We start from the raw sequence: 26,515 nt of genomic DNA on the forward strand, positions 1-26,515 counted from the left end.
AAGCGTAATACATCAAGTAGACATTTGGGAGGCACTTCTGGGTAAATCAGAAATTACATGTCAGATTAGGATTTAAAATAAAGTCCCTCTCTTGACCACACTCCACTCATCTAATCCGGCTCATACAATCTCATGCACCCACCTCTTTCACGACGGTTCCTCAGCCTGTAGAGAAGGGGGCGCTGCAGTCATTTCCATGGCATGGGTGGACAGGTTGCATTAATTTGTTTTATGCTTGTTAGCAGAGGCCACACCAACAATACAAACAATGAAACCTGGCCAAGTGACTTTAGGAGCTTTACAGCTGGTCCTGGGCTTTGTATCTTTTGCGGGTTGATGGCCCATACTCTGGATTGGAGAAGCATACACAAGGCATCAAGGTGTTGCTTTCCTGGCTTCCGGGGTGTCCTGGTGTCTTAGTTATGGATCTCCCAATATCTGCAGGTCACAGAGTGACAGAAGCTGCAGCACAGTTACGTGGACCTCCCAGAGCAGAGGATAAGGAGCAGTGAAGATAGGATGGTGCTCTGATTGGAGCAAGAAACCCACTCCGTGATATATATATATACTTTTTTTTTTTTGAGATGGAGTCTCACTCTGTCACCCAGGCTGTAGTGCAGTGCTGCAGTCTCAGCTCACTGCAACCTCTGCCTCCCGGGTTCAAGCGATTCTTCTGCCTCAGCCTCCCAAGTAGCTGGGAGTACAGGCATATGCCACCACACCCAGCTAATTTTCTGTGTTTTTAGTAGGGATGGGATTTTGCCATCTTGAACTCCTGGCCTCAAGTGATCCACCCGCCTTGGCTACCCAAAGTGCTGGGATTACAGGCGTGAGCCACCATGCCCGGCCATTCACTCCCTGATTTTATTTTATTTTATTTTATTTATTTATTTATTTTATTTTATTTTATTTTATTTTTTGACACGGAGTCTTGCTCTCTCACCCAGGCTATAATACAGTGGTTCATTTAAAGCCTTTTTGGGAGGCTGAAGCAAGCCAATTACTTGAGGTGAGGAGTTCAAGACCAGCCTGGCCAAATGGTGAAAACTGTCTCTACTAAAACTACAAAAATTAGCCGGGCATGGCGGTGCACACTTGTAATCCCAGCTACTTGTGAGGCTGAGGCAGGAGAATTACTTGAACCCAGGAGGCGGAGGTTGCAGTGAGCCGAGATTGCGCCATTGCACTCCAGCCTGGGCAACAAGAGCAAGATTCAGTTTCAAAAAAAAAACAAAAATGAAGGAAGGTCTTTATGACTCAAGGATCTTTTAAATAAGTAAATAAATATAAAAATTAAAGTCTGGGCCTGGTACAGCAGCCCACACCCCATAATCCTAACACTTTGGGAGACCGAGGCGGGAGGATCACTTGAGCCCAGATGTTCAGGACCATTCTGAGCCAAATAGGGAGACTCCTTTTTTCTTTTTCTTTTTTTCTTTTTTCTTTTCTTTTTTTTTTTTTTTTGAGACGGAGTCTTGCTCTGTCTCCCAGGCTGGAGTGCAGTGGCGCGATCTCGGCTTACCGCAAGCTCCAGCTCCCGGGTTCACGCCATTCTCCTGCCTCAGCCTCCCGAGTAGCCGGGACGACAGGCACCTGCCACCATGCCCGGCTAATTTTTTTGTATTTTTAGTAGAGACGGGGTTTCACCGTGTTAGCCAGGATGGTCTCGATCTCCTGACCTCGTGATCCACCTGTCTCGGCCTCCCAAAGTGCTGTGATTACAGGCGTGAGTCACCACGCCCGGCCTCTTTTTTCTTCTTATTTTTTTGTGAGATGGGGTCTTGCTGTGTCACCCAGGCTGGAGTGCAGTGGCACAATCTCTGCTCACTGCAAGCTCCGCCTCCTGGGTTCACGCCATTCTCCCGCCGCAGCCTCCCGAGTAGGTGGGACTACAGGCGCCAGCCACCACGCCTGGCTAATTTTGTTTTTGTATTTTTTTTTTTTAGTAGAAACGGGGTTTCACCGTGTTAGCCAGGATAGTCTCGATCTCCTGACCTTGTGATCTGCCTGCCTTGGCCTCCCAAAGTGCTGGGATTACAGGCGTTAGCCACCGCAACTGGCTTTTTTTTTTTTTTTTTTTTTTTTTTTTTTTGAGACGAGTCTCGCTGTGTCACCCAGGCTGGAGTGCAATGGCGCAATCTTGGCTCACTGCAACCTCCGCCTCCTGGGTTCAAGTGATTCTCCCGCCTCAGCCTCCTGAGTAGCAGGGATTACAGGCACCCACTATCATGCCGGGCTAATATTTTTGTAGAGATGGGGTTTCGCCATGTTGGCCAGGCTGGTCTCAAACTCCTGACCTCAGGTGATCTGCCCACCTCCGCCTCCCAAAGTGCTGGGATTACAGGCGTGAGCCACCATGTCCAGCCGAGACTCCTTTTTTCTATCTTTTTTTTCTTTTCTTCATGTCAGAAGGGTAATGAGCCAACATTGTAACAAGGTTCAAGGGTGGCACATCTCACACATGCCCGTTAACACCCAATCATCACACTCATGCACTACAAAAGGATCAGAGGATCAGACCTTTTCTCTACACAGATTTTTTTTTCTTTTCTGGTTAATTGGGCTTGGCGGCACATGCCTGTAGTCCCAACTTCTCCCAGCTACTCGGGAGGCTGAAGTGGCAAGATCGCTTAAGCCCAGGAGCTCGGGGTTGCAGTGAGCTATGATTACAGCACTGTACCCCAGCATGGGTAACACAGCAAGACTCTCCCAGTAAAACAAACAAAACCACAAAAAAACTAGAGGTCTTTGTCACCAGACTTTAAGCTCTTCGGGGGCAAGGATTGTGTCCATTTTCTTCATTGCTGTATACACAGTGTTTAGCACAGCCCTGCCAATATTAACTTTCCAATAAGTGTTTGTAGAATAAATAGATGAATTAACAGATGCAAGTAAAAACCATATTTCCTTTTCTTTTCTTTTTTTTTTTTTTTTTTTGGAGACAGGGTCTCACTTTGTCACCCAGGCCGGATGTAGTGCAGTGGTGTGATCTCAGCTCACTGCAACCTCTGCTTCCTGGGTTCAAGTGATTCTCATGTTTCAACCTCTCGATTAGCTGGGATTACAAGCGTGCACCACCACGCCTGGTTCTTTTTTTTTTTTTTTTTTTTTTTTGTATTTTTAGTAAAGACAGGGTTTCACCATGTTGGCCAGGCTGGTCTCAAATTCCTGACCTCAAATGATCCTTTTCTTTTCTTTTCTTTTTTTGTATGTGACACAGTCTTGCTGTGTTACCCAGGTTGGAGTGCAGTGGCGCAATCTCAGCTCACTGCAACCTCTGCCTCCTGGGTCAAAGCGATTCTCCTGCCTCAGCCTCCTGAGTAGCTGGGACTACAGGTGCCTGTCATCATGCCCAGCTAATTTTTATATATTTAGTAGAGACGAGGTTTTGCCATGTTGGCCAGGCTGGTCTCAAACTCCTGACCTCAGGTGATCTGCCCACCTCAAGCTCCCAAATTGTTGGGATGACAGGCTTGCGCCACCATACCCGGCCCTCTTTTTATTTCTTATTTTAAAGACAGGGTCTCAGGCAGGTACGATGGCTCATGCCTATAATGCCAGCACTTTGGGAGGCCGAGGCAGGCGCATCACCTGAGGCCAAGAGTTCCAAGACCAGCCTGGCCAACATGGCGAAACCTCGTCTCTACTAAAAATAAAAAATTAGGCCTAGCGCAGTGGCTCATGCCTTTAATCCCAGCACTTTGGGAGACAGAGGCAGGCGGATCACTTGAGGTCGGGAGTTCGAGACCAGCCTGACCAACATGGAGAAACCCCATCTCTACTAAAAATACAAAATTAGCCAGGCGTGGTGGCGCATGCTTGTAATCCCAGCTACTCGGGAGGCTGAGGCAAAAGAATCAATTGAACCTGGGAGGCAGAAGCTGCAGTGAGCTGAGATCTCACCATTGCACTCCATCCAGCCTGGGTAACAAAAGCAAGACTCCATCTCAAAAAAAAAAAAAAAATTTAGCCAGGCGTGGTGGTGGGCGCCTGTAATCCCAGCTACTCGGGAGGCTGAGGCAGGAGAATCACTTGAACCCAGGAGGCAGAGGTTGCAGTGAGCCGAGATTGCACCATTGCACTCCAGCCTGGACGACAGAGTGCGACTCCATCTCAAAAAAAAAAAAAAAGATGGGGTCTCACTCTGTTACCCAGGTTAGTCTCGAACTTCTGGGGTTAAGCGAATCCTCCAGACTCAGCCTCCCAGAGTACTGGGATTACAGGCATATGCCACCATGCCCAGACCATATTTCCTTTTCATTGGGTGGTGCCCACACACAGAGATACACAAAGACAAACATGCCCTGTTAGTGCTCAGTAGTCATTTTAATAAATTTTCACAATGGGCTCGACTTAGCATAAACTTTATTGGTTTGGGTTCTCTTGGCTATTCTGGAGTGGGGCTGAGGCAGGTGCTAAGTGAAGGGCAGAATCCAGTCCTGAGCTGGGTGTGGTCAGAGTCACCGAGACCTGGGGAGAGTGGGGAAAGGAGAAGAAGGTTGTTATGGACTTGGAGTCGGCCAAGCACATTTATCCTGGGACCCAACCATTGTTGAACCCCTCCTACCTTCAAATCACCTTTTTAAATATTTTAATTTTTATCAATTTACTTTTTTTTTTTTTTTTGAGACGGAGTCTCGCTCTGTCGCCCAGGCTGGAGTGCAGTGGCGCGATCTCGGCTCACCGCAAGCTCCACCTCCTGGGTTCACGCCATTCTCCTGCCTCAGCCTCCCGAGTAGCTGGGACTACAGGCGCCCGCCTCCACGCCCAGCTAATTTTTTGTATTTTTAATAGAGACAGGGTTTCACTGTGTTAGCCAGGATGGTCTCGATCTCCTGACCTCATGATCCACCCTCCTCGGCCTCCCAAAGTCCTGGGATTACAGGCATGAGCCACCATACCCGGCCTCATTTTACTTATTTTTTAAGAGACAGTCTCACTGTGGTGCCCAAGCTGGAGTGCAGTGACTGTTTACAGATGTGATCATAGATCACTGCAGTCTTGAACTCCTGGCCTCAAGCAATGCTCCCACCTTTGCCTCATCAAATCACCATTTTAATGATAAGTAATCAAAATAATTCACAATATCCACCTTCTTACGGAGATTTTCTTACACCCTCTTCTCCATGGATCTGCTCACACTCCTGTCCCTTCTTCCCCTCCTGAGGTTCCTGTCCCAGATTTGCTCCCTCAATCCCTCCCTAGCTGCTCAGCATCAATGTCTGAAGTGTTTTGGTTTCCGTGCCTCTGTGTCTGCATCATGAGGGTCCTGTCTCACCCTTTAGGTGGACAGGTGTCTTCATAATATTTAGTGCCTCGATTCTGGGACATAAGGAATGGACTGAAGAATTTTCTAGCTGATGAGGGGGATTCAAGAGACCATTGAAGCCAGCAGTGGCCACAGAGGAAGGAAACATGCCTCTAACTATGTAGTTTCCCATCACCAGGAAGGTGCCATGGCCCAAGGGTACAGAGGGAAAGCTGAGAACAGGATGGGCTCAGCTCTGTGTGTAGGGACAGGCAGGACACAGGATGGGCTCAGCTCGGTGGGTAGGGACAGGCGGGACACAGGATGGGCTCAGCTCGGTGGGTAGGGACAGGCAGGCCACAGGATGGGCTCAGCTCTGTGTGTAGGGACAGGCAGGCCACAGGATGGGCTCAGCTCGGTGGGTAGGGACAGGCAGGCCACAGGATGGGCTCAGCTCGGTGGGTAGGGACAGGCGGGACACAGGATGGGCTCAGCTCGGTGGGTAGGGACAGGCAGGCCACAGGATGGGCTCAGCTCGGTGGGTAGGGACAGGCGGGCCACAGGATGGGCTCAGCTCTGTGTGTAGGGACAGGCGGGACACAGGATGGGCTCAGCTCGGTGGGTAGGGACAGGCGGGACACAGGATGGGCTCAGCTCGGTGGGTAGGGACAGGCAGGCCACAGGATGGGCTCAGCTCGGTGGGTAGGGACAGGCGGGACATAGGATGGGCTCAGCTCTGTGTGTAGGGACAGGCAGGCCACAGGATGGGCTCAGCTCGGTGGGTAGGGACAGGCGGGACACAGGATGGGCTCAGCTCTGTGTGTAGGGACAGGCGGGACACAGGATGGGCTCAGCTCGGTGGGTAGGGACAGGCGGGACACAGGATGGGCTCAGCTCTGTGTGTAGGGACAGGCAGGCCACAGGATGGGCTCAGCTCTGTGTGTAGGGACAGGCGGGACACAGGATGGGCTCAGCTCGGTGGGTAGGGACAGGCGGGGCATAGGATGGGCTCTGGGTGGGTAGAGACAGGCAGGTAGGGATAGGCAGGGGAGAGCATCACCTCGCCTGGAAGAGTGAGGAAGAAGAACAAATAGTAATCAGAGCTACTAACCTTGCTGAGCTCTTATTACTCCTCAAAGATGGCCCTCAGGTCTCCACTTGAATTGTCTTTTTTTTCTTTTGTTTTTTTTCTTTGTATTTTTCCACTTGCATTCTCTTACTTAAAGCTGACAACAATCCTGTGAAATGATTCTATACCTCTGATTTTAGTGAAAACACTGAGGTTCAGAAAGGCTATGTAATCAGCCAGCATGTGGAGGGGCAAAGATCTGAATCCATGTCTGATGCCCAAGCTCAAGTTAGAACCGCTGTGCAACACCACACTCCCCTACCTGAGCCTGCAGAGGTTTGTCTGATCCAGCAAGCAGGCCAACAGCTCTTGAATCAGCAAGTCCCGCAGCAAATCTTCATCGCTGGGGTTCTTGGCTGGGGAGCTGCAAGGGAACAGTCTCTGGCTAACTATTTTAGCCTGAGCTTCGCCCAGAGAGGGTAAACACAGGGTTGGGGACACCACTGAGGGGCAGCCGCGGATGGGGGGAGGGAGCCGACACAGCTATCTCTCCGTTGGCTCAGCTCTGAGATCTGGAGCCTCCTTTCTGCCAGCCCCACCCAGCGCTGCCTGCCTGGGGAATATGGACTCTTCATACAGGGAGAGTCAAACAGAATTCTGGTATGAGATATTCTGCCCATCCACCTCTGCCAGTGTTCCAGAATGCAGAGAGTACTTTGGGCACATTCACTCTTTGAAATGACCTGTGCCATTCAGAGAGGGGATAACTGATTTCAGGGGAGTGGGCCTGGGAAGATCCCCCGCTCTTTCACAAACAGTCTTCCCGAGGTTTGGCAGGGAGAGGTGGTGAGGCCAGGACCTGAGGTCTCTTCTTTCCTGCCCTTCTCCTGACTCAGTGACTGTGCTGTGCATGCAGTCATCAATATTAGAAACCCTGTCCCTGAAACCCCTCCTAGCACCCCTCCCGTTTCTCCAAGGCTTCTTCCTTAAGCTTGGGCTGACCTCCAGGAGTTTGCTCAATGAAGACCCCTCTTTGAACTCTGAGAGGAAGAGGATGCTTATCTCAGGTCCTTGCTCTGCTCTGGGGTCAGGGAGAGGGAACAAAGAGGTGGGGGCGGGGCAGGAGGCTTGGCTCCCTCCCTTCCCTCTGCGCCCTGACTCACCTCTGTGGCTCCACTGCCTCCTCCTCCTTCCTATTAGCTTGACTGGCCAGCTCCAGCGCCCGAGCCTCCCTCTGGGTGATGTTGTGTTTCCAGCTGGGAAGATAAAGATTAGAGAGTGGGCAAGCTGCGGAGACTCCAGTCTAGGGACACTTGAATCTTTTAATATCTGAACCCCAAAAGCAGAGGGTACCTTTTTCCACTCAACCCCACCTAACAGTGGTCTTCAGCTGCCTCCACCAGTGAACAGCTTTTCAGAATCTACCGTGCTGACCAGAGAGGGCGGGGAAAGAGACTTGGCATAGAGCAGGGAGAAGGACGAGGACAGTTAATCTTCTCTTCATTTTTTTTGGTGTGTGTGTGAGAGACAGGGTCTGGCTGTATTGCCCAGGCTGGAGTGCAGGGGCACCATCTCAGCTCACTGCAACCTCTGCCTCCCAGGCTGAAGCCATCTTCCCATCTCAGCCTCCCGAGTAGCTGAAACTACAGGCAGGCATCACCACACCCAGCTGATTTTTGTACTTTTTGTTTGCCATGTTGCCCAGGCTGTTCTCGAATGAACTCGTGAGCTCAAACAATCCACCTACCTGGGCCTCCCAAAGTGCTGGGATTACAGGTGTGAGCCACCATGAACAGCCAATCCTATTTTCTTTCCTTTTTCTTTGAGACGGAGTCTCGCTCTGTTGCCAGGCTGGGGTGCAGTGGTGCAATCTCAGCTCACTGCAACGTCCGCCTCCAGGGTTCAAGCAATTCTCATGCCTCAGCCTCCCGAGTAGCTGGAATTACAGGCACGTGCCACCACACCCAGCTAATCTTTGTATTTTTAGTAGAGACGGGATTTCACCATGTTGGCCAGGAGGGCCTCAAGCTCCTGACCTCGTGATTTGCCCGCCTCAGCCTCCCAAAGTGCTGGGATTACAGGTGTGAGCTACTGGGCCTGGCCCTAGCCAATCCTGTTTTCAAAGTCTAAAGTGGCCACCGCCAAGCAAGCAGTCATTAGAAGGAGCTCGTCTCTCCCTTGCTTCATCCTCAGACCCCTGGGGATCCTCTCTGAGCTCCCATACATCTTCTGACTCCTCCCCTTTGAAGTAAAGGATTAGGGCCAACACAGTGGCTCACACTTGTAATCCCAGCACTTTGGGAGGCCGAGGAGGGCAGATCACGAGGTCAGGAGATCGAGACCATCCAGGCCAACACGGTGAAGCCCCGTCTCTACTAAAAAAATGCAAAAAAATTATCCGTGCATGGTGGCGGGCACCTGTAGTCCCAGCTACTCAGGAGGCTGAGGCAGGAGAATGACGTGAACCCGGGAGGCGGAGCTTGCAGTGAGCCAAGATTGTGCCACTGCACTCCAGCCTGGGTGACAGAGCAAAAAAAATCCGTCTCAAAAAAAAAGAAGTAAAGGATTAGGGAATAGCCCTGGTCCCTACCCCTAGCCTAGACTGGTGCCCAAGTCAGGGTCCTGGCCAGAGCTACCATGTCTGACTCCCCATCCTTGCCTGGTGAAAGGTGCCACCCAGGCTGGGTGTGGTGGCTCACACCTGTAATCCCAGCACTTTGGGAGGCCAAGGCAGGTGGATCACCTGAGGTCAGGAGTTCGAGACCTGCCTGACCAACATGGAACCCCGTCTCTACTAAAAATACAAAATTAGGCCAGGCGCAGTGGCTTATGCCTGTAATCCCAGCACTTTGGGAGGCTGAGGTGGGCGGATCACGAGGTCAGGAGTTTGAGAACCAGACTGGTCAACATGGTGAAACCCTGTCTCTACTGAAAAAAAAAAAAAAAATTAGCCAGGTATGGTGGCGCGTACCTGTAGTCCCAGCTACTCAGGAGGCTGAGGCAGAAGAATCGCTTGAACCCAGGAGGTGGAAGTTGCAGTGAGCCAAGATCGAGCCACTGCACTCCAGCCTGGGCAACAGAGCTAGACTTCGTCTCAAAAGAACAACAAAAAAATACAAAATTAGCCAGGCGTGGTGGCACATGCCTGTAATCCTAGCTACTCGGGAGGCTGAGGCAGGAGAATCGCTTGAATCCAGGAGGTGGAGGGTGGAGGTTGTAGTGAGCAAAGATTGCGCCATTGCACTCCAGCCTGGGCAACAAGAGCAAAACTCTGTCTCAAAAAAAAAAAAAAAAAAAAAAGAGAGAGAGAGGCGGGGTATGGTGGCTCACGCCTGTAATCCCAGCACTTGGGAGGCCGAGGCAGGTGGATCACGAGGTCAGATCGAGACCATCCTAGCTAACACGGTGAAACCCCGTATCTACTGAAAATACAAAAAAAAAAAAAAATTAGCCGGGCATGGTGGCAGTTGCCTGTAGTCCCAGCTACTCAGGAGGCTGAGGCAGGAGAATGGCGTGAACCCGGGAGGCGGAGCTTGCAGTGAGCCGAGATCGCGCCACTGCACTCCAGCCTGGGCGAAAGAGTGAGACTCCATCTCAAAAAAAAAAAAAAAAAAGAAAAGAAAAAGAAAGGTGCCACCTGGGGTTGTGCATCATGTGGCCTGTGTGGCCACAGCCGGTGGCCTCCTCTGAAGGTAGGAAGGCAGAGCCCGGCACAGGGAACAGGAGGAGTGTAAGCAGCGACTCACTCATTCTTCTTCCCCTTTTGGGCCAGCAGCCAGTTCACAAAGTCTTGTTGGTGAATCTTGTCCATGGCAATACTGTAGTCACTGATGAAAGTCCCTTCCGCGTACCTGGGGCCTCGAGGTTGAGGGCTGCTCACCTTAGCATGAGATCCAACAGGCAGGGAGGGGAGAGCGCTGGAAACAAGGGTGCGGAGAAGGGGCAGAGATGGGGGGAGAATCACAATGCTAGGGTAAATGACTGTCACTAACAGGAGGCAGACACTTGAAAACAAACCAGTCCGTTTTTATGGAGACTCCCTGTGGATCCACTCCCCCACCCCACCCCAGGCTTTATCCTCAGCTCCAGGGCCCACTTCCTGCAGCCTCAGTGTGTGTGGCTCTGGATTCTGGGCAAAAAGAGATCACGGGGCCAGGGGCGGTGGCTCATGCCTGTAATCCCAACACTTTGGGAGGCCAAGGCAGGCGGATCACCTGAGGTCGGGATCGAGACCAGCCTGACCAACATGGAGAAATCCCGTCTCTACTAATAATACAAAAATTAGCCAGGCGTTGGCAGGGCGTGGTGGCTTACGCCTGTAATCCCAGCACTTTGGGAGGCTGAGGCGGGCGGATTACAAGGTCAGGAGATCGAGACCATCCTGGCTAACACAGTGAAACCCCGTCTCTACTAAAAATACAAAAAATTAGCCAGGCATGGTGGTGGGCGCCTGTAGCCCCGGCTACTCGGGAGGCTGAGGCAGGAGAATGGCGTGAACCCGGGAGGCGGAGCTTGCAGTGAGCTGAGATTGCGCCAGTGCACTCCAGCCTGGGAGACAGAGCGAGACTCCGTCTCAAAAAAAAAAAAATTAGCCAGGCGTGGTGGCACATGCCTGTAATCCCAGCTACTCAGGAGGCTGAGGCAGGAGAATCACTTGAACCTGGGAGGTGGAGGTTGCAGTGAGCTGAAATCGTGCCATTGCACTCCAGCCTGGGGAACAAGAGCAAAACTTCGTCTCAATAAAAAAAAAAAAAAAAAAGGCTGGGTGCGGTGGCTCACGCCTGTAATCCCAGCACTCTGGGAGGCCAAGGTGGGTGGATCACAAAGTCAGGAGATTGAGACCATCCTGGCTAACATGGTGAAACCCCGTCTCTACTAAAAATACAAAAAAATTAGCCAGGCGTGGTGGCAGGCGCCTGTAGTCCCAGCTACTTGGGAGGCTGAGGCAGGAGAATGGCGTGAACCCAGGAGGCGCTGCTTGCAGTAATCGGAGATCGCGCCACTGCACTCCAGCCTAGGTGACAAAGGGAGACTCCATCTCAAAAAAAAAAAAAAAAAAAGGGATCGGGGTCCCCTCATCTGAAAAGACTGAGTCACACAATTCCCTCCTTTATTCCTCCTGCCCTGGCCCTTCCTGATTCAATTCCTTGGTTCACATTCCATAACAATAGTCAACTCATACGAAAGCTCTGAGAAGCACTGTGTAAGCCCTTGAATCCATAAAATAATTTCATCCTCACAACATCCTATGAGGTAGGTTCTATTTATATCCCCATTTTGTGAATGGAGAAACCAAGGTGCAGAGATTACCTTATTATTGTCTTATTATCTGCCACTCCGTATAGGTAACAGATCCAGGATTTACCCCAGGCCATCTGGGCTCAGATCTATGTTCTTAACATCTACATGATACAGGCCAGGCGCAGTGGCTCACGCCTGTAATCCTAGCACTTTGGGAGGTCCAAGCAGGTGGATCACGAGGTCAGGAGTTCAAGACCAGCATGGCCAAGATGGTGAAACCCCATCTCTACTAAAAATACAAAAGTTAGCCGGGCGTGGTGGCAGGTGCCTGTAATCCCAGCTGCTTGGGAGGCTAAAGCAGAGAATTGCTTGAACCCGGGAGGCGGAGGTTGCAGTGAGCCAAGATCGCGCCAGTGCACTCCAGCCTGGGTGAGAAAGTGAGACTCCAATTAAAAAAAAAAAAAAAAGGGCCAGGCACAGGGATTACATGCCTTCAATCCCAGCGCTTTGGGAGGCCAAGGTGGATGGATCATCTAAGGTCAGGAGTTCGAGACCAGCCTGACCAACATAGTGAAACCCCATCTCTACTAAAAGTACAAAAATTAGCCGGGTGTGGTGGTGGGCACCTGTAATCCCAGCTACTCGGTAAGCTGAGGCAGGGAAAATTGCTTGAACCCAGGAGGCAGAGGTTGTAGTGAGCCGAGATTGTGCCACCACACTCCAGCCTAGGTGACAGAGCGAGACTCCATCCCCCCCCAAAAAAAAAGAAAAAGAAAAGAATAGAAAAAAAAAAGAATGCATTCATAAGCCTGGGTAACATGGCGAAACCTCATCTCTACAAAAAATTCAAAAACTAGCCGAGCGTGGTGGTACATGCCTGTGGTCCTAGCTGCTCGGGAGGCTGAGATGGGAAGATGCTTGAGCCTGGCAGGCAGAGGCTGCAGTGAGCTGCGATCACGCCACTGCACTCCAGCCTGGGCGACAGGGCAAGATCCTGTCTCAAAAAAAGAAAAAAGAAAAAAAGAAAAGAAAGAAGCAAACATGCATAAATGAATAAAACATTTATTGGGAAGGGAGATTCTGTCATCTTCGGACAATTAACCACCAGGAAGTCCCGCCAGAGATCTAACCATAGTCTCTCCCACTGTAACAGCAGCACACAATAAATCCTCTCTGGCTCAGTGCTCACTTTGCACTCACGCTGCCGGCAGGTATTTCCCTGGAGCTTCCTACCTCTTAGCCTGGATTCCTTCCCTTTCTCATCTCCCCCTAGAAACAAATCCAGAACCTGTCATCCCCTAACCCCTCCTCTGCCCCATCCCTTTCCTCTCACCACTCCTACCTGAAGTGACCCTCTTTCTTCTCTCCTAGTCCCACTGCCAGGAACAGGGACAGCAGCAGCAGAGCAAAGGTCTTCGTGGCCACCATCTTCCAAGGTTATTTCCTGAGCTAAGACAGAAAAAAGCCAGGACATGTTGAGAGAGCAACCAGTAGGGGTTCTGAAAGCTGGAGAGGGGCAAAGCCCTGAGGTTTGGACCCTTTCTTTTCCTTTTTCTTTTTTTTTTTTTTTTTTGAGATGGAGTCTCGCTCTGTCGTCCAGGTGGGAGTGCAGTGGCACAATCTTGGCTCACTGCAACCTCCACCTCCTGGGTTCAAGCCATTCTTCTGCCTCAGCCTCTCGAGTAGCCTGGACTACAGGCATGTGCCACCACTCCCGGCTAATTTTTGTATTTTTAGTAGAGACAGGGTTTCACCATATTGGCCAGGCTGGTCTCGAACTCCTGACCTTGTGATCTGCCCACCTGGGCCTCCCAAAGTGCTGGGATAACAGGCGTGAGCCATCGCGCCTTGCCAGTTTGGACCTTTTCTAAGAGCCTGGGGCAACACCATGGGGGAAGATGAGGGGTGCTGTGCACTGGAGTTAGTGACTAGAAGGGACATGGAATCTTACCAAAAGATGGACCAGGCTGGGTGCAGTGGCTCATGCCTGCAATCCCAGCACTTTGGGAGGCCCAGGTGGGCGGATCACTTGAGGTCAGGAGTTTGAGACCAGCCTGGCCAATATGGTGAAATCCTGTCTCTACATAAAAGACAAAGATTAGCCAGGTGTGGTGGTGCGCGCCTGTGATCCCAGCTATTCAGGAGGCTGAGGCATGAGAATCGCTTGAACCTGGGAGGAAGAGGTTGCAGTGAGCCGAGATTGCGCCAGTGCACTCCAGCCTGGGTGACAGAGCGAGACTCCATCTCTAAATAAATAAATAAAGGAAACATCAGCGCTACCTTCTCATTTCTCTTTCTCTTTTTTTGAGACAGGGTTTCGCTCTGTCACCCGGGTTGGAGTGCAGTGACACAATCGTGGCTCACTGCAGCCTCGACCTCCTGGGCTCAGGCAAACCTTTCACTTCACCCTCCCGAGTACCTAGAACCGCAGGCATGTACCACCATGCCCAGCTAATTTTTTAAATTATGTGTAGAGATCGAGTTTCCCTCCATTGCCCAGGCTGGTCTTGAACTCCTGTGCTCAAATGATCCTCCTACCTCGGCTCCCAAAGTATTGGGATTACAGGCATGAGGCACCGCACCTGACTATCTTCTCACATCTCATATAGAGGAAGAGAAAACTAAGATGCCAGGGCTGCTGAGCATCTCAGGGTTGCCAAGATCCATCTGCTCTCGGGTCATCTCATCCATCCCTGTCTCCACTTCTCTTACCAGACTTCCTTTCCAGCTCTTCCAGAAGAAGGACAGATAGGGGTCTCCTTCCCCTGATTTCTGGACCTTCTGAGCCTGCTGAAGAAATCATGCCCCAGCTCCTTTATATTAGGCATAGACCTGCTGATTAGCCTAAAAGCATCTTATCTCAAGAAATTAAGCCCACAGCTCCTGCCACATTAAGTCCATTTTACACATAATAGAGTTGCCCTTTCCACCTGAACTGTGCTAATTGGTGATTAACATTTGGCTATCTCCAGCTGCTGTCTGGGGCCTGCCTGTGGGTAGGGTACCCTAAGTACCCCCTTTTTTCTTCCTCCTCCTCCCTTCTGGGCACAGGGCCCACTACTATTCTTCTATGCCCTACTTCCTTTACAGTTGCCCTCAGTTAGAAGGGATACTTGTAGGCCAGGCGCGATGAATCACGTCTGTAATCCCAGCGCTTGGGAGGACGACACGGGCGGATCACCTGAGGTCAGGGGTTCGAGACCAGCCTGGCCAACATGGTGAAACCCAGTCTCTACTAAAAATACAAAAATTAGCTGGGCATGGTCGTGCACGGCTGTAATCCCAGCTACTTGGGAGGTTGAGGCAAGAGAATCACTTGAACCTGGGAGGCAGAAGTTACAGTGAGCCAAGATCGAGTTCACTGCACTCCAGCATGGGCAACAAAGAGAGACTCTCTCAAAAAAGAAAAAAAGAAAAGAAAAAAGAAAGGGGGCCGGGCGCAGTGACTCACGCCTGTAATCCCAGCACTTTGGGAGGCCGAGGCGGGTGGATCACGAGGTCACGAGATCGAGACCATCCTGGCTAACACAGTGAAACCCCGTCTGTACTAAAAACACAAAAAATTAGCCGGGCATGTTGGCAGGTGCCTGTAGTCCCAGCTACTCGGGAGGCTGAGGCAGGAGAATGGCGTGAACCCGGCAGGCGGAGGTTGCAGTGAGCCGAGATGGCGCCACTGCCTGCCAGCCTGGGCGACGGAGCGAGACTCCATCTCAAAACAAACAAACAAACAAAAAAAAAAAAAACAAACAAAAATTAGCCAGGCATGGTGGCACGTGCCTGTAGTCCCAGCTACTTGGGAGGCTGAGGCAGGAGAATCGCTTGAACCCAGACCTGGAGGCAGAGGTTGTAGTGAGCCAAGATCGTGCCACTGCACTCCAGCCTGGGTGACAAAACAAGACTCTGTCTCAAAAAATAAAAATAAAAATAAAAAAGGGTACTTGTAGTGAAGACAGACTTGGGGTAGGGTGGCACTAACTGGCAGGGGGACACTCCCACAAGGCAACAGGCTACTTCTGGGTGGGAGAGAGTAGGTCCACAGTCATCTGAATCCCAGCTCTGGACAGTGGCCTATGGCTTTGGTGATGTGGCAATGCCCCCATCACATTATCTAGAGAGGTGTCCCAAGGGCTCAATGTTGAGGGAATATGAAGGATCGGGGTTTCCTAGGGACAGCTGGATAAACTGAGAACATACATTCAAGCTGTCTTCCTGCTCAGGGGCAGGATAAAGCAGGAGAAAGAGACATGTTTGTACCTCAGGGGCTCACAGGAGGGTGGGGTAGTTACAACTTTATCTATAGAGATTTAGGAGCCCCTCTCCTCATATGTCCTACTGTCCTGTACAAGAGAAGTATGTCATCCTGTCTCTTCTATCAGAGTGAAGACCCTGGAGTTATGCTGTGCCTCTCTATTATACAGGAGCCACTCCAAGGCAGGGGCTTTCTGTCCCTGATCTGCCTGGGAGCTCTCTGAGAGGAGGAGGAGAGCTGGAGGCGATGTTCCCCCAGCACACTGAGGCTTTCTGAGGCTAAGGGCTGTGTCTCCCCCTCAGACTGGAGACTCCTTGGGATACTCCCTTTGCCTTTCTCCAAGTACTTAGCACATGGCTCTGTCCACAGGGGCTCTCAGTCTAGAAGGGGCAGGGCACAGATTGCATTTTTGGCAGACCTCCAAGGCGTTCTTTCCAGGCTCCTCCTCTGCCGCCGCCATGGGTACTTGGGACCATAAACAGCCAAGCTCATGCTCTGCCTATCAGCTCCAGGTCCTAATAAAGGCCACCTTCCTTTCCAGGTGAACACCCTAGCCTAGGAGCAGATCCAGCATGAAATTAAGTGTGCGTGTGGGATGAGAGGTACCTGGACTAGCAGGGTCACTTACCTCTGCCTCCTGGAAACCTCCTCTGCATACCCACCCATTCTCCACCATCTAGAAAAACTCCTCCCTTAGCAAGCTCTCCAAATTCCATCTCCCAGCTACCAATGGGCAGAGATTAGACGTCGATTCAGATTTGACCTCCAAGGGAGATGTGAGGGCTGCTTGTGATCTTGTTTTCTGCTGAGCAACACAGTTAATGAGCTCAGAAGGGCTTGTGTTCAAATCTGCCTCCTGCCTGGAGGCAACAGTATCCAAGAAAAGTGGACAACATTCCCTGGGAACCCTGAGTCTGGGGCCAAATTGGAGTCAAGGAAGGCTCTGTGATGGGCTCTAGCAGCCATGAGCCCCTGCCTTGTACTCTGTGGATTTGTTTTGGGGGTGGGCTGCTCTGAAGGCCAATGTACTTCATTTTGTTTATTAATTTAGAGACGGAGTCTCACTCTGTCTCCTAAGCTGGAGTGCAGTGACACGATCTCAGCTCACTGCAACCTCCACCTCCGGTTCAAACAATTCTCCCGCCTCAGCCTCCCGAGTAGCTGGGATTACAGGCAAGAACCACCATGCCCGACTAATTTTTGTACTTTTAGTAGAGATGGGGTTTCACCATGTTGGCCAGGCTGGTCTTGAGCTCCTGACTTCAAGTGATCCGCCCGCTTCGGCCTCACAAAGTGCTGGGATTACAGGCGTGAGCCACCGTGACTGGCCAAGCAAGTGTACTTTAAGTCCCCACCCCACCCCCTTCTCTGCAGCCTCATCCCCATTTCTCTTTGATCTTTGGCCCTCATGCCCTGCAGTGCACAGACAAGAGAGAATATGTCCTGGACCCTGTAGGCAGGGAAGAGCAGGGCAGGCAGGAACAGGGAATGTGGGGAGGGCCCCCAAGCCTAGAGCTCCTGCTCAAGTCTGCAAGTTCCACACTCCCCAGAAGCAGCAGAATATGCGAGGAGGGCCAGGGGAGATCAGAGATGAAGCCAAACTCCTAGGGGGTTCCACAGCTCCCCCAAAAGGCATATTGGGAGGCAGGAAATTGAAAAGATGACCCTGGGAAGTTTCTGAGGATTGGAAGAGCCTGCTGGACTTGATCAAAATCATTTAATAAATCCAACTGGCAGTTAAGCCAGCCTGTCCACACCATAAGGAGAAGCGCCCTGGTGTGCAGAGTTCTGTGCAGGTTTGGGGTTGGGGGTGGGGAGGAGGAGGCTCTGGAATTAGCAGAGCCTCCCTCTTCCCATTTCACTATGGAGAATTGCTAGCATGTGAGGGGTCAGAGAGGACACAGGGGATGGGGGTCAGGAGGACACCCCAACTAGCCCAACACCCACACAAGTTGAAAGAGTGTGTGGGGGCCCGGCACAGTGGCTCACGCCTGTAATCCCAGCACTTTGGGAGGCCGAGGAGGGCAGATCACAAGGTCAGGAGTTTGAGACCAGCCTGGCCAATAAGTGCCGATAGTCCCCACTACTTGGGAGGCTGAGGCAGAAGAATCACTTGAACCCAGGAGGCAGAAGTCGCAGTGAGCTGAGATCACTCCACTGCACTCCAGCCTGGGAGACAGAGCGAGACTCCATCCCCCGCCAAAAAAAAGAAAGAGTGTGTTGGGTTGGGTTGGGGGGTTTCTGAGGTGTTACAGGAGTTAGGTAATCAGGGGAGTGAGATTCAGAGAAGGGGTGATGGGCAGTGCCATCGCAAGAGAACCCTGGGTCCCATTTCCCAGCCCTTCCTGGGTTCTGACTGGGCCCTCAGGAATGAGAACTGTAACAGCAGAAGAGCATCTGGGGTTTGCTTGCTCTTCCAGTCCCCACTGGTGACTCACCGCCACCCCCACCACCATCCCCATCCCCCTCGCTGGCGCAGACATTCTGGCCCAGCTCTGCAGCCAGGTCAGGGTGACTCAGAGGGCTGGCTGCTGCCTCCCCGCCGTGGACCCTGCTTTTGAAGTTCACTTAGTCTTCAAACTCACAGCTGACTGAGAAAGCCGACTTCCCTCTCTGGCTTCTCTCACACCAGTCAACAGATTTCTTCTTAGGCAGAGGAGGAAACAAGAGGTGACTTGATGCCCAACAACTTTGCCAAGTCCTCCGGTCTATCCTGATGCTTAGAGGGACTATCTCCAGCTTTTCCCCACAGTCACATCACACACACAGTCATGCTCCCAAACATTTTTGCCGACAGCATTTCCCTTAGGTCCTGATAGATACTTTCCAGAGGGGTCTTCAAGAAGAATATATGGCCGGGCACAGTGGTTCCCGCCTGTAATCCCAGCACTTTGGGAGGCCTGGGCGAACGGATCACTTGAGGTCATGAATTTGAGACCAGCCCAGCCAACATGGTGAAATACCATCTCCACTAAAAATACAAAAATTAGCTAGGTATGGTGGCAGGCGCCTGTAATCCCAGCTGCTTGGGAGGCTGAGACAGGAGAATCACTTGAACCCAGTGGGCAGAGGAGGTTGCAGTGAGCCGAGATCGTGCCACTGCCCTCCAGCCTGGATGACAGAGTGAAAGTACGTCTCAAAAAAAAAAAAAAAAAAAAAAAAAAAAAAAGAATATGCTATCTATAGCCTTTATGGCCATCTGCTACAAGCAGTTTGAAGCAGTTTGGAAGTCCTCTCCCAGTTCTAACCCCAATCCCTCTTGCTGTTTTCAAAGGCTTTTGTTTGTCGGGAAAAGAGCTCAAGCTCTTAGTAGTTGCTGCCTAATCCGTGGGAGGAGGGCTGCAGTGAAGAGTTGGAATGGGAGAAGATGGCTACAAGGTCCTCACTTCCAAGGAGTCCTGCTGGAGGGAAAAAATTGATTGTGTATTTAGGATAAAAGGCCAAAGGGGGCCAGGCACGATGGCTCACGCCTGTAATCCCAGCACTTTGGGAGGCCAAGGCGGCCGGATCACGAGGTCAGGAGTTTGAGACCAGCCTGGCCAACATAGTGAAACCCTGTCTCTAGTAAAAATTCAAAAAATTAGCTGGGCATGGTGGTGCACGCCTGTAGTCCCAGCTACTTGGGAGGCTGAGGCCGGAGAATCACTTGCATCCGGGAGGTGGAGGTTGTGGTGAGCTGAGATCACGCCACTTCACTCCAGCCTGGGCAACAGAACGAGACTCTGTCTAAAAAGAAAAAAGAAAAAAAGAAAAAGAAAAAGAAAAGGGCTGGGCCTCCCTGAAAGAGCAGAATTCCTGAGCTCCTCTGTTTTTCTGCTAGGGGTACATCCCAGAGAAAGGAAGACAGTGGTGAGAAGGGAGGGTTTTCTCTTCCTTTTCCTTGTGTGGGGGCATGAAGGATGGAGCAGTTTCCAGAGTCCCCAGTGGAACCTCCCCTACCCTTGCGCCCCCTCCTGCCCCTGGTATCCGAGTCCTGCAATGGGTGAGTGTGTGGGTGGGGCTTCTGCAACTTCGGAAAACATATACCTCCTTAATTAGATTAAGGAGCAGCTTGGTGGGCAGAGAGAGAGGATTAGACTGGAGTTCAAGCCCCAGCTCCACCTGTCCCCACTACCAAGGTTATGTTTGGCTTTGGGCAAAGCTCTTAACCACTCTGAGGCTTAACTCACTTGCCCATTTCTAAACTGGACATAAGAACAAAACTTTCCCAGCTTACCTTACTGTTAACTTGAAGGTATCCTGCTAGTGTTGGCTGGCAGTATTCTCTGCAATGATCTCCCCTGCATCACTCTATGCTGAAAATCATCATTATTTTTTAAATTATTGATTTTTATTTTTAATTTAGGGTCTTCTCACTCTGTCACCCAGGCTAGAGTGTAGTGGCACAATCACAGCTCACTGGCCGGGCATGGTGGCTCATGCCTGTAATTCTAGCACTTTGGGAGGCCAAGGTGGGAGGAACACTTGAGGTCAGGAGTTCGAGACCAGCCAGGCCAACATGGTGAAATCCCATTTCTACTAAAATTACAAAAATTAGCCAGGTGTGGTGGCACACACCTGTAATCCCAGCTACTCAGGAGGCTGAGACAGGAGAATCGCCTGAATCCGGGAGGTGGAGGTTGCAGCGAGCCTAGATTGTGCCATTGCCCTCCAGCCTGGGGGACAAGAGCAAAACTCCGTCTCAAAAAATAAAAAATAAAAAATAAATCACAGCTCACTGTAGCCTGACCTCCTCCAACTCCTGAGTAGTTGGGATTACAGGCATGCACAACCATGCCTGGCTAATTTTATTTTATTTTGTTATTATTATTTTTTTGAGACAGAGTCTCCCTCTGTCACCAGGCTGGAGTGCAGTGGCGCGATCTCGGCTCACCGCAACCTCCGCTCCTGGGTTCAAGAGATTCTCCTGCCTCAGCCTCCTGAGCAGCTGGACTACAGGTGAGTGCCACCTTGCCCAGGTAATTTTTGTATTTTTAGTAGAGACAGGGTTTCAGCATGTTGTTCAGGATGGTCTCGATCTCTTGACCTTGTGATCCACCCGCCTCAGCCTCCCAAAGTGCTGGAATTACAGGCATGAGCCACCATGCCCGGTCATTTATTTTTTAAGTACAGATCTTGCTATGTTGCCCCAGGCTGGTTTTGACCTCCTGGGCTCAAGTAATCCTCCTGCCTTGGCTTCCCAAAGTGCTGAGACTAGAGGTGTGAGCCACTGTGCTTGGGCTATGGAGAAAATTAAATACAGTGAATTAAGAAAGCCAGGCTGGGCCTGGTGCGGTGGCTCACGCCTGTAATCCCGGCACTTTGGGAGGCCAAGGCGGGTGGATCACGTGGTCAGGAGATCGAGACCATCCTGGCCAACATGGTGAAACCCTGTCTCTACTAAAAATACAAAAAAATTAGTTGGGTGTGTTGGCATGTGCCTGTAGTCCCAGCTACTCGGGAGGCTGAGGCAGGATAATTGTTTGAACCCTGGAGGCGGAGGTTTCAGTGGGCTGAGATCACGCAGTTGCACTCCAGCCTGGCAACAGAGAGAGACTCTGTCTCAAAAAAAAAAAAAAAAGAAAGAAAGAAAGCCAGGCTGAGGCCAGGTGCACTGGCTCACGCCTGTAATCCCAGCACTTGGGAGGCTGAGGTGGGTGGATCACCTGAGGTCAGGAGTTCGAGACCAGCCTGGCCAACATGGTGAAACCCCATCTCTACTAAAAATACAAAAATTAGCTGGGCGTGGTGGCGGGTGCCTGTAATTCCAGCTACTTGGGAGGCTGAGGCTGGAGAATCGCTTAACTCTCCAGCCTCCAGCCTGGGCAATAAGAGCAAAACTCTGTCTCAAATAAAATAAAATAAAATAAAATGAAAGAAAGAAAGAAAAAGAAAAGAAAGCCAGGCTGACATCCCAGCACCTGGGGCATGATGGAAGGTTATGAAAGTCCATATTAGGAGCAAGAGCTTTGGAGATAGACCCACTTATGCACTTATGCTTACGAGTAGGATAATTTATAGCAACTTGCTCCAGGGGGCACTTCAGTTTGCCTTTCTGTAAAATAGGAAATGTAATAGTTTCTACCTGGAAGGATTGATTTGAGACACATGTATACTTAGAAGATGCATTATGTTACATTGTATCTTGATGCATTAGTTATCTTCTGCTGCCTAACAAATTACTCCAAATCTTAGCAGCTTAAAACAAACATTTGTTATCTCACACAGTTTCTGAGATTCAGGAATTTGAGAGCAGCTTAGTTGGGTGGTTCTGACTCAAGGTCTCTCATGAGGTTGGAGTCAAACTGTTGGCTAAACTGCAGTCTTAGAAAACTTGTCTGGTGCTATAGGATCACCTTTCATGCTCATTCCCATGACTGTTGGCTGAAGGCTTCAGTTCCTCACTATGTGGACCTCTCCATAGGGCTTGTCATTTCTTTCCCCAGAGTGAGGGCATACACCTAAGATGAAAACCACAATTAGATGTTTTGTTTTTTGTTTGTTTGTTTGTTTGTTTTTGCAACAGGGTCTCACTCTGTCACCCAGGCGGGAGTGCAGTGGCACCATCCCAGTTCACTTGCAACCTCTGCCTCCCAGGCTCAAGTGATCCTCCCACCTCAGCCTCCCAAGTAGCTGGGACTACAGGTGCCTACCACCACGCCCAGCTAATTTTTTGTGTTTTTGGTAGAGACAGGGTGTTGCCATGTTACCCAGGCTGGTCTTGAACTCCTGAGCTCAGATGATCCACACGCCTTGGCCTCTCAAAGTGCTGGGATTATAGGCATGAGCCACTGCGCCCAGCCCACAGTTAGGTTTTAAAACTTTACTCTGGAAGTGACATAACATCACCTCAGCTATATGCTGTTGGTCACACAGACCAATCCTGGTGCAATGTGAGAGGCATTACGCACAATGTGAATACCAAGAGGTGAAGACCACTGGGGGCCAGTTTGGAGGCTGGCTACCATATACATAATCAGCCCTAAAATATGTTGGCCAACATTGTTATTTTTTTATTTTTTGAGACGGACTATTGCTCTTGTTGCCCAGGCTGGAGTGCAATGGCACAATCTCGGCTCACCACAACCTCCGCCTCCCGGGTTCAAGCAGTTCTCCTGCCTCAGCCTCCCGAGTAGCTGGGGTTACAGGCATGAGCCACCACATCCAGCCAATTTTGTAATTTTAGTAGAGATGGGGTTTCTCCATGTTAGTTAGGCTGGTCTTGAACTCCCGACCTCAGGTGACCTGCCCTCCTTGGCCTCATAAAGTGTTGGCATTACAGGCATTAGCCACTGCGCCCAGCCCAACATTGTTATTATTACAGAAGATGCTCAGTTCATTGAGCATTTCTTTTCATCATCATCAACTTTAGCTATTTCATTAGTTTATTTTGTTTTGCTTTAGAGACAGGGTCTTAATCTGTCCCCCAGGCTGGAGTGAAGTGGCATAATCATAGCTCATCTCCTGGGCTCAAGTGATGCCCCTGCCCCAACCTTCCAAGGAGCTGAGACTACAAGTGTACACCACCATGCTCTGCTAATTAAAAACATTGTGCGTGTGTGTGTGTGTGTGTGTGTGTGTGTGTGTGTGTCACATGCCTGTGGTCCCAGCTACTTGCAAGGCTGAGGTAAGAGGATTGCTTGAACCCAGGAGGTTGACTCTGCAGTGCATGCCACTGTGCTCCAGCGTAGGCGACACAGTGAGACCCTGTCTCAAAACAAAGAATAAAACAAAAACCGGCTGGGCGTGGTGGCTCATGCCTGTAATCCCAGCACTTTGGGAGGCCGAGGTGGGCGGATCACGAGGTCAGGAGATTGAGACCGTCCTGGCTAACACAGTGAAACCCCATTTCTACTAAAAATACAAAAAATTAGCTGGGCATGGTGGCGGGCGCCGGTAGTCACAGCTACTCGGGAGGCTGAGGCAAGAGAATGGCGTGAACCCGTGAGGCGGAGCTTGCAGTGAATCAAGATCGCACCACTGCACTCCAGCTTGGGCGACAGAGAGAGACTCCATTTCAAAAAAAAAAAGAAGAAAACAAAAACCATGGCCAGGTATTGTTGCTTATGCCTGTAATCCCAGCACTTTCAGAGGCTGAGGCAGGTGGATTGCTTGAGCTCAGGAGTTACAGAGGAGCCTGGGCAGCATAGCAAAACCCACCTCTAAAAAAATACAAAAAAAATTAGCGGGGCACGGTGGCACACAACTGTAGTTCCAGCTACTTGGGGGCTGAGAAAAAAAAAAGACTTTTCTGCCTATGGAGTAGCCCTTCTTTTATTTGTTCACTTTCTTAATAAACTTGCTTTCACTTTACTCTATGGATTTGCCTCAAATTCTTTCTTTCAGAAGTCCAAGAACCCTCTCTTGGGGTCTAGATCAGGGACCCCTTTCCGGTAACATCTTCCTGGTGACTATGAAGGTACGATACTGAGGAGACCCCCAACCCACAGGAAATAGGCTGCAGCACCAATTGGCTGACTTTGGAGCCACAAAAACTTTTCTTTTGAGCTACTTACAGCTTTCAACAATTAAGTAAACTATATTTCTGTGAACACAATTTGGAGCACATTTGTTTCTCTCTACCTGATTTCTCCAGAATTTGGAAACTACTTGAGCGTATTCTTAACTTATGGCAATATAGTTATTTGCATAAGTGCTATAAAAATGTTTTCTTTTGCAACAGGACACAATTGGAGAAACTGATTATTTTACTGAGGTATTGACTGGAATGGTATGTTTTCCTTTAAGGAATAAAACTTGACTAATGGACCAGGTGTGGTGGCTCACACCTGTAATCCCAGCACTTTGGGAGGCTGAGGCAGGTGGATCACTTGAGTCCAGGGGTTCAAGACCAGGCTGGCCAACATGGTGAAACCCTGTCTCTACTAAAAATACAAAAATTTGCTGGACATGGTGGTGTATGCCTATAATCCCAGCTACTCAGGAGGCTGAGACAGGAGAATTGCTTGAACCTGGGAGGCAGAGGTTGCAGTGAGCCAAGATCACGCCACTGCCCTCCAGCCTGGGCGACAGAGTGAGACTCCATCTCAAAACAAAAACAATAACAACAACAACAACAACAAAAAACTTCACTTATAGAGCCAATAAAAGCCCCTTGGAAGAATTGGCCTCATACCTTGTCTACAGTCCCTGTGCAGGGTTTCTCACCTGTGGTAAGTAAAGAAGGTCACTTTCTGACAGGCCCAGGAGCCCTAAGTTATCTTGGGACCTCAAGAAGAGAGGAATTTGCCCAACTCATATAGGTATTTAAGGGTACAAACCCATAGCTAGGCTCAGCTTTAAAAAAGTCTTACCTAAGATTCCTTTTATGGAGCAAAGTTCCATCAAAGCCAAAAAAAAAAAAGGCCTATGTAGGCCAGGCGCAGTGGCTCACACCTGTAATCCCAGCATTTTGGGAGGCCAAGGCAGGTAGATCACTTGAGCCCATGAGTTCAAGACCAGCCTTGCCAACATGGTGAAACCCTGTCTGTACTCAAAATATAAAAATTAGCCAGACGTGGTGGTGCACACCTGTAATCCCAGTAGGCTAAGGCAGGAGAATTGCTTGAACCCAGGAGACAGAGTTTGCAGTAAGCCAGGATCATGCCATTTCACTCCAGCCTGGGTGACGGAGTAAAACTCAGTCAAAATAAAATAAATAAAATAAAATAAAATAAAATGCCTATGTAAAAAATAATTATTCTTGCTGCACTTTATTTTTGTTTATTTATTTATTTATTTTTTTGAGACAGAGTTTTGCTCTTGTTGCCCAGGCTGGAGCACAATGGTGTGATCTCGGCTCACTCTCTGCCTCTGATTCTCCTGCCTCAGCCTCCCGAGTAGCTGGGATTACAGGCATGAGCCACCATGCCCGGCTAATTTTGTATTTTTGGTAGAGATGGGATTTCTCCATGTTGGTCAGGCTGGTCTCGAACTCCTGACCTCAGGTGATCTGCCTGCCTCGGCCTCCCAAAGCGCTGGGATTACAGGTGTGAGCCACAGCACCCGGCCACACCAGGCTAATTTTTGTATATTTCGTAGAGAGGGGTTTTTGACATGTTGGCCAGACAGGTCTCAAACTCCTGATCTCAGGTGATCTGCCCACCTCGGCCTCCCAAAGTGTTGGGATTACAGGCGTGAGCCACTGTGCCCAGCAGACCGTAGATTAGTTTGTCTTTTCTAGAATTTTATATAAATGAAATCATACTCTATATTATTTTTTTGTCAGCTTCTTTCATTCAGCTACTTATTTTGAGATTCATGTATGTTGTAGTGTGATTAATAGTCCATTGTCTTTATTGCTGAGTAATAGTCTTCTGTCATATGGATACATTAGTTTGTTTATCTATTCACCTGTTGATGGACATTAGAGTTGTTTCTAGTTTTTGGCTCTTAAAAATAAAGCTGCTATGGTCTGGGTCTGGTGGCTCACGCCTGTAATCCCAACACTTTGGGGGGCTGGGGTGGGTGGATAACTTGAGCTCAGGAGCTCCAGAACATCCTGGGTAACATGGGGTAACATGGGGAAGCCCCACTCTACAAAAAATGCAAAAGTTAGCCAGGTGTGGTGTTATGCACCTTGTAGTCCCAGCTACTTGGTGGGCTGAGGCAAGAGGATCCCTTGAGTCTGGCTTGCACCGGGGAGGTTGAAGCTGCAGTAACCTGTGATCGCACCACTTCATTCCAGCCTGATCAACGGCGAGACCCTGTCTCAAAAACAAACAAACAA

The 26,515-nt window shown here is 50.1% G+C and overlaps 1 protein-coding gene and 1 non-coding gene across 2 annotated transcripts, besides 3 other annotated features; both read right to left on the minus strand.

The window, feature by feature from the left end:
* Positions 1 to 2,403: 2,403 nt before the first annotated feature.
* Positions 2,404 to 2,507, minus strand: LOC124904116 (small nucleolar RNA U13). The gene has a single exon (XR_007065995.1). It is a non-coding gene; the product is annotated as a small nucleolar RNA U13 (small nucleolar RNA).
* Positions 2,508 to 4,307: 1,800 nt separating this feature from the next.
* GIP (gastric inhibitory polypeptide) lies at positions 4,308 to 14,350 on the minus strand. Its single transcript, NM_004123.3, has 6 exons — positions 14,271 to 14,350; positions 12,901 to 13,007; positions 10,064 to 10,234; positions 7,481 to 7,573; positions 6,640 to 6,741; positions 4,308 to 4,470 (listed from the first exon to the last, which is right to left on the minus strand). Exons 2-6 carry the CDS (start codon positions 12,984 to 12,986, stop codon positions 4,461 to 4,463), a joined length of 462 nt encoding a protein of 153 aa, NP_004114.1. The 5' UTR covers positions 12,987 to 13,007; positions 14,271 to 14,350; the 3' UTR covers positions 4,308 to 4,460.
* Positions 10,255 to 10,804: an enhancer, noted in NCBI's record as "H3K27ac-H3K4me1 hESC enhancer chr17:47041863-47042412 (GRCh37/hg19 assembly coordinates)". NCBI's record gives its function as "activates a minimal SCP1, AML or CMV promoter by ChIP-STARR-seq in naive H9 embryonic stem cells {active_cell/tissue: H9 hESC(naive)}" and the evidence as "EXISTENCE:reporter gene assay evidence [ECO:0000049][PMID:30033119]".
* Positions 11,936 to 12,436: an enhancer, noted in NCBI's record as "H3K4me1 hESC enhancer chr17:47043544-47044044 (GRCh37/hg19 assembly coordinates)". NCBI's record gives its function as "activates a minimal SCP1, AML or CMV promoter by ChIP-STARR-seq in naive H9 embryonic stem cells {active_cell/tissue: H9 hESC(naive)}" and the evidence as "EXISTENCE:reporter gene assay evidence [ECO:0000049][PMID:30033119]".
* Positions 12,437 to 12,937: an enhancer, noted in NCBI's record as "H3K4me1 hESC enhancer chr17:47044045-47044545 (GRCh37/hg19 assembly coordinates)". NCBI's record gives its function as "activates a minimal SCP1, AML or CMV promoter by ChIP-STARR-seq in naive H9 embryonic stem cells {active_cell/tissue: H9 hESC(naive)}" and the evidence as "EXISTENCE:reporter gene assay evidence [ECO:0000049][PMID:30033119]".
* Positions 14,351 to 26,515: the final 12,165 nt, after the last annotated feature.

This window comes from Homo sapiens, chromosome 17 (genome assembly GCF_000001405.40).
Source record: "Homo sapiens chromosome 17, GRCh38.p14 Primary Assembly".
Lineage (NCBI taxonomy): Eukaryota > Metazoa > Chordata > Mammalia > Primates > Hominidae > Homo > Homo sapiens.

Coding starts and splice junctions, on each gene's coding strand:
- GIP (NM_004123.3), bottom strand. CDS start 12,986: ATGGTGGCCACGAAGACCTTTGCTCTGCTGCTGCTGTCCCTGTTCCTG. Junction 7,574..10,063: donor CAAAAGGGGAAGAAGAATGA/GTGAGTCGCTGC, acceptor TTATCTTCCCAG/CTGGAAACACAACATCACCC. Junction 6,742..7,480: donor GAGGCAGTGGAGCCACAGAG/GTGAGTCAGGGC, acceptor GTTCCCTTGCAG/CTCCCCAGCCAAGAACCCCA.